Source organism: Homo sapiens, chromosome 5, assembly GCF_000001405.40.
Source record: "Homo sapiens chromosome 5, GRCh38.p14 Primary Assembly".
Lineage (NCBI taxonomy): Eukaryota > Metazoa > Chordata > Mammalia > Primates > Hominidae > Homo > Homo sapiens.
In genome coordinates, this window is record NC_000005.10 from 20926022 (window position 1) to 20937957 (window position 11936).

The following is an 11936-nucleotide window of genomic DNA, read 5'->3' on the forward strand; positions in this document are numbered from 1 at the left end:
AATGTACTAGGGAAGAGGTTAGAACCATTACTATTGGTGGATCAATTAGATGTACCTTACAATACAACCTAGATAGGTGGGGATCTGAGAGCAGACTGTGAGTTGCTCAAAATTAGAATTGAAAAAGCAAATTCACTCATACCACCATGTAAAAAATTGGTGACAATTTATTTATTTTTTATATTGAGCTGACATGCAATAATTGTACATAATTGTGGGTTACAGAGTGATATTTTGAAACAAATATACAATATGTAATGATCAAATCAGGGTAATTAGCATATCTGTCAACCCAAGTACTTATCATTTCTTCATGTTGTTAACATTCAAATTCTTCTCTTCTAGCTTTTGGAAAATATACACTAAATGATTGTTAACAATGTTTACCTTACACTGCTACAAAACACTGGAAGTTTTTTCTTCCATCTAGCTGTAACTTTGTGTTCATTAACCAAATTCGTTTTATAATCCCCTCCCACTAACTTGCCCAACTTCTAATGACCACAATTCTATTCTCTATTTCTATGAGCTCTTTAAACAAAAAAAAAAAAAAACAACAACAACAACAACAACAACAACAAAAAACTCCCATATCCAAGTGAAAACATGCAGTGTATTAGTCCTTTTAACTGGGGTGTGATGATTTCTCATTGTGGTTTTTATTGCATTTCTCTGATGATTAGTGATGTTGAGCATTTTTTAATTTACTTCTTGGTCATTTATATACCTTTTATTTTTTTGAAACGAGGTCTTGCTCTGTCCCCTAGGCTGGAGTGCAGTGGTGCGATCTCGGCTCACTGCAAGCCCCGCCTCCCGGGTTCACACTATTCTCCCTCCTCAGCCTCCCGAGTAGCTGGGACTGCAGGCACCCACCACCACGCCTGGCTACTTTTTGTATTTTTAGTAGAGACGGGCTTTCACCGTGTTAGCCAGTATGGTCTCGATCTCCTGACCTCGTGATCTGCCCGCCTTGGCCTCCCAAAGTGCTGGGATTACAGGCGTGAGCCACCGCGCCCAGCCTATATGCCTTCTTTTGATAAATGTTTATTAGATCCTTAGCCAATTAAAAAAATCTATTTTTTTCTCTCTCTTTTTGGCTGCTAAGTTGTTTGACTTACATGTATATTCTGGATATTAGTCCCTTGTCAATGAATAGATTGCTTGTATTTTCTCCCATTTTACAGGTTGTCTCTTCACTCTGTTGTTTTCTTTGCTGTTCAGAGCTTTTTAGTTTGATGTGGTCTCATTTATCTATTTTAAGTTTTGTTGCCTGAGCTTTTGAAGTCTTACCCACAAAATCTTTGCTCAGACCAATTTTCTGAAGCATTTCCTCTTTGTTTTCTGATAGCAGATAATTTCAGGTCTTATGCTTAACTCTTTAATCCATTTTGAGTTGATTTTTGTGTCAAGATGGAGATCTATAATAGTTTCACTCTTCAGCATAGGAATATTTAGTTTCTGTATCACCATTTATTGAAAACAATGTTCCTTCCCCAAATCATGTTCTTGGTACCTTTGTCAAAAATCAGTTGGTTAAAAAGCATAGATTTATTTCTGGGTGCTCCTTACGTTTTATTGGCCCGTGTGTTTGTTTTTCTACAAAAACCATGCTTCTTTGGTAAAAATAAATTTGTAGCATATTTTGAAGTCAAGTAGTATGATGCCTCCATCTTTCTTCTTTTTGCTCAGTATTGCTTTGACTATTCAGAATCTTTTATATTCTCATAGGAATTTAGTATTGTTTATTTCTGTGGAAAAAAATAGATATTTCATAGGTCTTTCATGTAATCTGTAGCTGCTTTGGATAGTGTGTTCAATTTATCAATATTAATTCTTCCAGTGCATGAGTATGGGATGTTTTTCCATTTTTTGTGTGTATTCGCTTCAGTTCCTTTTCATCAGTGTTTTGTAGTTTCTGTTGTAGAGATCTTTCATCTCCTTGGTTAAATTTATTTCCAGTATTTTATTTTGTTTTGTAGATATGTAAATGTGATTGCTTTCTTGATGATTTTCATTATCGGTTTACAAAAATGCAAATAAATTTTGTGTGTGATTCTGTTTCAGGCAAATTTACTGAATTTGTTTATCAGTTCTAAGAGTTTTTTGGTGGTCTTTAGGTTCTTCTATGTAAAAGATTATGATGTATGAAGAGGGAAAATTTGAATTCTTCTTTTCTAATTTGGATGCTTTTTTATTTCTTACTTTTGCCTAGTTGCTCTGGCTGGCACTTCCAGTACTATTTTGAATAACAGTGGTAAAATTGAACATCTTTGTTTTGTTGCAGCTCTTGAAGAAAAGGCTTTCAGTTTTTCCCCATTCAGTATGATGTTAGCTTAAGTTGGTTATATGTAGCCTTTATTATGTTGAGGTATATTCCTTCTATACCAAATATATTGAGAGTTTTTATCATGAAGTGGTATTGAATTTAATCAAATGATTTTTTGCATCTATTGAGATGATCATATGCTTTGTGTCCTTTATTGTATTGTGATGAATTACATCTGATATTTATATGTTAAACCATTCTTCCATTCTTGAAATAAATCCTACTTGATCATGGTGTATTATCTTTTTGATGTGTTATTGGACTTAGTTTGTTAATATTTTGTTGAGGATTTTGCAGTTATGTTCTTCAGGGATATTAACCTTCAGTTTTTGTTGTTGTTCTGTCTTTGTCTGATCTTAGCAATGGCAGCCTCATAAAATGAGATATGGATAATTTTTTTAAAATAGTTTCAGAAGAATTGGTGCAAGTTCTACTTTAAAAGTTGGGTTTAATTTAGCAGTAAACCCCTGTGGTCCTGGCATTTTCCTTTTGGGGAAACTTTTTATTATGAATTCAATCTAGTTACTGGTTATTGTTCTGTTCATGTTTTCTATTTCTTTCTGACTTAATCGTGATAGGTTTCACGTGTACAGAAAATAATTTTCCCTTGGGTTTTTAATTTTTTGGCATATAGTTGTTCTCACTAGTGTCTAATGATCCTTTGAATTTCTGAAGTGTCAATTGTAATGTCCCTTTTTTCACTTCTGATTTTATTTATTTGGGTCTTCTCTCCTTTTTTCTTACTTAGGCAAAATAGCGGTTGGTCTATTTTTTTTATATATTTCAAAAACCAACTTTTTGTTACATTGATTTGTTCACATTATATGTTAGTCTACATTTTGTTTAGTTCTGCTCTAATCTTTATTGTTTCTTTCCTTGTACTAATTTTGAGTTTGGTTTATTCTTCCTTTTCTAGCTTCTTAAGGTGCATTGTTCATTTATTTGAATTATTTCTGCTTTTTTGATGTACATTATTATTGCTATAAATTTCCCCCTTAGCACTGCTTTTGCTGTATCCCATAAGTTTTGAAATGTTTTGTTTCTACTTTCATTGATTTCAATCAATTTTTTTATTCTTTTTTGATTTCATCATTGAAACACTGAACATTTAGGGACATATTATTGAAACTTTCATGTGTTTATACAGTTTCCAGAGTTGTTCTTGTTATATTATTAATTTCTAGTTTTTTAAAATTGTGGTTTGAGAATATACATTTTATTAATTTAAGTTTTTAATGTAACTGAGATTTCTTTTGTGGTCTAACATATGGTCTATGTGTGTTTATGAGAAGAATGTGTGTTCTGCAGCTATTGGATGAAATGTTCTGTACTTGTTAGGTTAATTTGGCCTGTAGTGCAGTTGAAATCCAATGTTTCTTCATTGATTTTCTGTAAACATGATCTGTCCAATGCTGAAAACGGGGTGTTGCAGTTCCCTACTATTTTGTAGTTTGGTCTATCTCTCTCGTTTGCTCTAAAAATATTTACTTCATATATCTGGATGCTCCAGTCTTGGGTGCATAAATTACAGTTGTTATATCTTCTTCCTGAGTCATGCCCTTTATCATTGCATAATAACCTTCTTTGTCTCTTTATTGTGGTTTTTGCCTTAAAGTCTATTTTGTCCAATATAAGTAGAGCTCCTACTTTATGCTGCTGTTTTCTGTTTGTGTGGAGTATCTTTTTCCACTCTTTACTGTTGCTCTGTCTGTCCTGACATAGAGAGAAATAAGTTTCCTGTAAGCAGCTTATAGTTGGTTAGGTGTTTTTCATCCACTGAGCTGATCTATATATTTTAATTGGGAATGTCAATCATTTAAATTTTTAATTGTTATTTGTAGGTGAAGACTTACTTTCATCATTGTGTTAGTTGGTTTCTGATTTTCTTTTATATCCTTTATTTTTTCTTCCTCTCTTATTGTTTAGTGTTGTAATTTGGTGGTATTTGTAGTGATAACATATGATTCCTTCCTGTTTTTTATTTGTGTATCTGCTCTAAGTTTTATACTGTCATGTTTACATAGTGATAGATATTGTCCTTTTGCTTTGAGATGTAGGATTCCCATAAGCACTGTTTTGTAGGTCATGATAATGGTGATGAATTATTTGTTCTTGTTAGTCTGAGAAAAACTTTATTTCTTCTTTATTTCTGAAGTTAATCTTTGCTGTGTATAGTATTTTTAGTTGACAGAGGGGGGTTTTTTTTCTTTTTTCCACAAATACATTATGCCATTCTTGCCTGGCCTGCAAGGATTTTGCTGATAAAGGCAGTTAGTCCAATGGAGATTCCCTTATATGTGATTTGATACTTTGTTCTTTGCTGTCTTTAGAATTCTTTTTGACTTTGAAAGATTGATTATAATGTGCCTCACAGAGGAACTTTTTGAGTTAAATCCATTTGTAAGTCTTTCATCCGTATTAGTCAAAAGCTGCATTAGCCCCTAACAAGAGAGTTAGCTTATCCTTTGAAGTTTGAAGTTAGGTATTCACTTCTCAAGCTATGAAAGTTCTAGATGGCATCTTCTTCCAATAAAAGGCTGTTTTGTCTACATTGAAAATCTGTTGCTAGTGTAACTACTTTCATCACTTATCTTAGCCAGATAGACTTTCAGGATAACTTGTTGTAGCTTCTACATCAGCATCTGCTACTTTACCTTGAACTTTTATATTATGAAATGTTTTTTTCCTTGAATTTTATTTACCAATCTTTGCTAGCTTCAACTTTGTGTTTGCAGATTCATCACCTCCCTCAGCATTCGGAGAATCCAAGAGAATCTGTTTTAGCCTTCTACATGCCTTCCTCACTGAGCTTAATTATTTCTACCTTTTGATTTTAAAATGAGAGATGTTTTAATTTAAAAATGAGAGATGTTCTTTGTTTCACTTGAACACTTAGAGGCCATCGCAGGGTTATTATTCGGCATAATTTTAATTTTTTTGTGTCTCAGCGAATAGGAAGTTTTGAAGAGAGGAAGATATAGGGGAATTGCTAGTCAGTGGAGCAGTCAGAATACACACACTCTTTTTTCAATTAAGTTCACCACCTTATATGAGTATGATTCATACTGCCCCCAAACAATAACAATAGTAACATCAAAGACACTAATCATAGATTCCCACAAAATATATAATAATAATACAGAAGTTTGAAATAATGTGAGAATTACTAAACTGTGGCACTGGGAAACCAAGTGAGCACATACAGTTGGAAAAGTGGCAATGATAAACTCACTCAATGTGGGGTTGCCATAAACATTCACTTTGGAAAAAATTAAATAACTCCATGGTGCAATAAATGAAGCACAATAAAACAAGGTATGGCTGTACCAGCTAACTGTGGTCTATAGTTTAGTAAGTTGGGTGATAAAATCTTTGAGAAGCCATGCTTTTCATTGGAACTACAACCTACTCCAGACAGAGAAAGAAGATAATAAACTTCTACAAAATACAGATACAGCCAACCACTTATGCTGAAGAGGATGACATAGAAAAAAAGGCAGATGGGGAATTAAAAGTTTTTGTTTATTTTAATCTTTCCTTGTTCATCAGTAAATCAAATGTAGAAGATACTGGTAGAATGTGCATATGTCAAGAAATGAAATAAAAACAGTTGAGATAGTTGCAGCATCCCCACTGTTCTTGTAGTTAGCTCATTGGATCTGATATTGCATGATACAAATGAATGATAAAATCCTTGGTAATAATTCTAATTTAAATTTTCTTTACTTACAATTATATTAAATAGCTAAAAAAATTACCATTATAAGGTTAAGAAAGAGAGACCAGGATATACATTTAAAGGTTCTATATTTTAGTATATTTAATGTACTTTTTCTGCTTTTCTGGCTTTTTAAAGAGATCTCAATTTTTAGTTAGCTTTGGTCCCTCCAAATTGTATAATGAACTTAGTGTCACATGAATATGTATTTCAAAAGATGAGAAAAATATTTGTCTTTTTGATCTTTAATTTTATGTGCCAACTGGATTGAGTCAAGTAACTTCAGAGTAAACATTATTTCCGGATGTGTCCATAAGGGAGTTTCCCAGTGAGATTAGCATTTGAATCAGTGGACTAAATAAAGGTAGCCTCCCTGTTGTTGGTGGGTATTTTTTTTTTTTTTGAGACGGAGTTTAGCTTTTGTTGCCCAGGCTGGAGTGCAATGGCGCAGTCTTGGCTCACTGCAACTTCCGCCTCCCAGGTTCAAGCAATTCTCCTGCCTCAGCCTCCCAAGTAGCCATGATTACAGGCACTCGCCACCATGCCTGGCTAATTTTTGTATTTTTAATAGAGACAGGGTTTCACCATGTTGGCCAGGCTTGTCTTGACCTCCTGACCTCAAGTGATCCTCCCGCCTCGACCTCCCAAAGTGCTGGGATTACAGGCATGAGCCACCATGCCCAGTCAGTGGTTATTTTTAAGGATCTGAATATAACAAAAGACAGAGGAAGGAAAACTTTGCACTTTTCTCCTGCGTAATTGCTTGAACTGAGTTATCTCACCTAAGATTTACATCATTTGTTCCTTTGTTTCTCAGGCCTTTGAGCTTATACTGAATTATACCACCAGCTTTCCTAGGTCTTGAAGCTTACAGACAGCAGATCTTGGGACTTCTCAGGCACCATAATCAATCATGTGAGTCAATTCTTCATAATACAGTTGACCTTTGAGCCATTCAGGAGTTAGGAGCAGTGACCCCCAGCACAGTAAAAAATCTGCATAATAATTTTGACTCCCCCAAAACTTAACTACTAATATCCTACTGATTACCAGGAGCCTTACTGATAACATAAACAACCAGCTCATATTTTGCATGTTATATATCTATTATATACCATATTCTTACAATGAAGTGAGCTAGAGAAAAGGAAATGTTATTAAAAAGTATGAAAAAGAGAAAACATATTTACTATTTATTAAGTGGAAGTGGATCATCACAAAGGCCTTCATCCTCATATTTTTCACATTGAGTAGGCCGAGGACGAGGATAAAGAGGAAGGATTTCTCTTGCTGTACTAGGGGTGGCAGAGGTAGAAAAAAAATTGCATATAGGTGGACCCATGCTGTTAAACTCGTGTTATTCAAGGGCCAACTGTACATCAATAATGTATATGTATAGGTATTATATATAATGTTATATATGATAAACTATTTGTGTGTGTGTGTGTGTGTTCTGTTTTTCTAATGGACAGTGACAATACAGATTTTTGGTTTGGTTTCTCTGGAAAACCCTGACTAATATAGTCCAAATATGAAATATATATTTCTAATTAACAAAAACTTTATTTCAGCAAACAGAGAAACCATATTTCAGCAAAACCAAGGGAATTGATTTTCCTATGAAATTATAATATAATGGCTTAGGATAGAACTTTTGTAAGAATTACCTAGAAAACACAGAGGTAATAAAATTGCAGTGGTATATTTACCTGTACTTTTAAAAATTGCCATTCTTTCAAGCAGCAATCCCCACTTTACATTATATTTCATTAATCTCTTTCTAAAAAGAACTTGAAATACATCAATTGCTTTAGCAGAATGTTATACATGGAATCTAGAGGATTATTTGAATATTATTCATATAAATTTGTTCATATATTTATGTTTTTGTCAACAATTGGTAATAAAATGAATAAGCAATCTTATATTAGTATCCCAGTTGTAACAATCAAATCAAAGTAATAGATGTGGTTCATATCACTTCAATTAAGATAGTAACATAGAGTATTGTTCGCATACTAAGACTTCATTGCCAAGGTAAGGAAATAAGATACCTTGATATTGTTTTTGAATTTTACCCAACACATATACAATTTTCTCATGTCCTAGATAAAGAAAAATCAAAGTAAGAGACCTATTCGAGATTTACAGAGGAAGACAATCTTTTCTTCTCACCTTGGTACCAAATAGACAGTAAAAGTCTGCATAAAGATGTTTCCATTAAGTCTATTGAAATCAATTTTGTTTTAAAGTTTAATGTGTTTTCTTATGTGATAAGGTTGTTGACCAGTGATAAGATTTTCTGGCAGAGTAAAGTTTTAAGAAAAACAGTTATTGACTTTCAAAGACTTTTCCTGGCTGTCTTCTATTGTATGAGTATCTTCATATAGAATCTCAAAGATAAGAAGAAAAGAAGCAATTATTGAAGATATAGTAGATTTTTTTAACTAGCTAACAAGCTGTGCAAGTAGTGGAATATCTTGAAACTAACAATGAGAAGAGGAAGTCATTATCTCAGATAGCTAATCAAAGTGACCACACTTCTAAACTGACCACGCTTAATTAGTTATGGAAAGCATATTTTTCAACCCGCTATGTTAACTTTTACAGAAAAAATATCATTCAGTTAGGACCCTGTGGCACATAAGAATATTTTTTACAACAGTTAAACAAAGCATCTAGTAAAAGTAAAATTGCATAAATTTTGTAGGTTTTATTACTGAGGGATAGCAGGATAATGCAGTTATAATGTGAATTTGTTACAAGAGGGCAAATGTAAAATTGTTGAATATATACAGAAATAAACGATTTAATTATCATCTTCACTTTTTGTTTTAATTTGTATTTCATATGTCTTTTCTAACAGAGATAAATGATCCAATGATTCGGAACTTGAAAAGTGGTAGCTTTATGAATTCTCCTTAAGAAGAAACCTGTGCCCTGATCTTGCCTACTCACCCAAAGGCACTGTGAGGTAAAGAACAGGAGTGTGGATGGAAAATAAATGGAAAGTGAAAAGTATGGAAATTATAAAACCTCAAACACATTTAGGAAAAATACTAAGTAAAGGGATATGGGTATTTGGTCTAGGGACACAGACATGTAATTTATTTCAATATTAAAAAATTCACTTTCCCATGCATGATGTATAGTGACCACCATATGAGTTTTTTAAAATGTGCAGGATTTTTTTTTCTTGGCTTGATATACAGAAGAAAAGAAAACAAAAATTATGATAACCTCCTGATGCTAATTGACTGTTAATGATAAGCTTGTATATCAGGAAATTCATTCCACTCTTTTTGTGCTTAGAAACACAGGAAAACCACATTCCCAACACTTCTTTGAAGTCAGTTTGCAGGCCATGCAACCAAGTTCTGGACAATGGAATATAAAGAAAAGTGAAGCAAGTCACTTCCAGTTGGGCCTTTAGAAAATTCTGTGTGCTACCTCCGTTCCCTTTCCCCCTTCAAAGCTTCCTTGGAAGCACTGAGTTAGATGGTAAAGTTACAAGAAGGAAGAAGTCACAGAATCATCATTTAATGGAGAAAGCTGTGGAAAGCTGTGAAGTGATCAACAAATAAAACATTAATGAGCAAAGACACAGGGATTTAGCAGTTTATTGCCACAGGATAGTTTAGAATATTCTGATCATGAAATAACTTTATATAGGAGTGAGGTGCTACATCATTAAAAATCTAACTTACATTGCAAAACATTATTTTCATGTCTCATATAGGAAGGCAGCAATTATAAAAGGGACTGCAAGTCAAGACATATAAGAGACTGACAAATATAAAGACAACCTACTGTAAATTGGGAGGCAGATGACATACTTACAAAACAGAGAATTAAGAAAAATGATAGTATGTATTTGTAGCCATTGGTGAATTTTTAAATATATGAGAAGAAATATTAGAGAGACTCAAGAAATTCAAGGCCTTCCAAGAGTAAGAGAGAATATGTCTGACATAAGATTTTATACAAAATAGGCCAGTAAAAGAATCTTGGTCTAGTAAAGTGAACCCCAGTGAAAGATCAAGTTAATGATGGCCCTCCTATCTTTTTTTTTTTTTTTTTTTCAGATAGCATCAAAGGAACAGCTAGTAAGAGACACAGAGCCAGAAATCAGGGAAGTAAAATACACTTGACATCTACGTTCGGAAAGAAATTTTAGGAGGCAGAAGCAAATGGATCAGAAGCTGCTTATATTTTTGCAAGATTACCAAAGAAACCATTGGTGGAGAAAGTTCTGTGACCAACTTGTCTGAGTCTAGTAAGATTGAACGCTCACACACAAGTTTCATGAAGTGGGTTTGATACTTACAGATAAGCAGCAAGGACCAACAGAAGCTGATGATCTATGGTGAACTTTTTCCCAAGGCTCCGGAAAGCTGCCTAAAGTAGATGGAGTCTTCTCTGTGTGTGCCCCACTGGTCCTGCAGTTGAAGGATCCGGTAAAGCAGCCTGCCCTTGGTTTTATACTCCAGAGGAACGTGATTCGCTGGACTAAAGCATTGAAGTGCATCCTGTTTCCGGGGGGCACTGGAACAGAGCCTGGTCTGTTCTAGCCAGTCCCTTTCTATCTCAGGATAACATTCTACAGTTATTCTTGAGAACTATAATCAAATAAGCAGGGAGAACTGGGTAAGTCCAAGGCTTATCTATACAAGCCTTTAAATATTCAAGACCAAAAAAAAAAAAAAAAAAAAAAAAAAAAGCCTTGGTTCTTATCTTTCTTTCAGGAAAGCAGAGGCTCATTGTGGAACCCTCAAGGAGCATGGGGTCGTCTTCATCCCTCAGTTTATAAATGGCCAAGGAGAGTAATGCAACAAAAACTTCTCAGAGTTAAAAGCCAGAGTTCCTAAAGAACCGTGGACAAAGGGTTCTGTCTAGTGGGCAGAATTCATCCAGCGAAGGTGCTTACTGCACTCCCAGCATGTGCTTGGGAACTTTATTAAAATTCCTTCCTATTGAGATTTAAATTGCTGTCCAGAATTATACAATATAATGAATGGGGGCATTCATTATGTGTATTCTATGCCTTCTCCATCATTGCATATTCAGTCCTCGTGCTAGAGAGAGGCAGATAATCTACCTTTTAAATTGATAGGTCTCCTAACTACAGAGGGTCACATCTGGATCTGATGGCACCTACAGAACTTGGACTCTGAGCGACAATCAGTGACCAGGTGTGACTTTATATTATCTCTGTCAGGGAAGGGTGAGAGTTTTCAATGTGTGAACATAGAATAAAATGGTCTGGTGACCAAAAGGCTCTATTAAAGATAATATGAGATGTTCAAAACACTGGCTATTTTCTTGGGAACAAAAGTTGAACTTCTAAATCTTTCTCACAGATTGTAGACCAAAGGAATGAATTCTGATTGGCAGAATATAAGCCTACGTAATATAAAAAAGACTTCCAGGTTTGGCCCTCTGAGTCTTGACTCATTACACACCATCTCACAGCCTTATTTTGCCTTTCAACAGGAAATTTGGAACCCAGGTTTTCCCAACCTACATCTACAAAATGGAATGGGTCTGATTCGCAAGTTTTCAGAGAAAGAAGCCAACCTTAATCAGACTGTGATATGATGAGGAAATAAAACTTGCTGTGCTAATCAACTGATACTGGGAAGCATGTTTATTATAATAACATAGTCTATGCTTAACTTTTCTAAGAAACTAATGATCTGGAATATCGATAAAAAGAAAAAAGAAAGAAAGCAAAAGGACAGAAAGTTTTAGTGAGAATATGTCACTAAAAGAAAAATGCAAAAATCTCCAGGTAATTGTTCTTGTCTGTCACTATAATCAAAGTGGTATTTCACCCCCATCTGTTGTCCCTGCTTTGATGAGTGAGAATAGAAGAGCAGTTCATGGTTACAT

At 34.3% G+C, this 11936-nt stretch overlaps 1 long non-coding RNA gene across 1 annotated transcript in view; it reads left to right on the forward strand.

The window, feature by feature from the left end:
* Window positions 1-11672, forward strand: part of LINC02241 (long intergenic non-protein coding RNA 2241) — a 325854-nt gene extending 314182 nt beyond the window's left edge. Inside the window, exons 7-12 of the long non-coding RNA NR_149120.1 lie at window positions 6862-6959; window positions 8911-9018; window positions 10130-10691; window positions 10798-10963; window positions 11158-11236; window positions 11538-11672. This is a non-coding gene — a long non-coding RNA (long intergenic non-protein coding RNA 2241). The remainder of the gene's footprint in view (window positions 1-6861; window positions 6960-8910; window positions 9019-10129; window positions 10692-10797; window positions 10964-11157; window positions 11237-11537) is intronic.
* The last annotated feature ends 264 nt before the right edge of the window (window positions 11673-11936 follow it).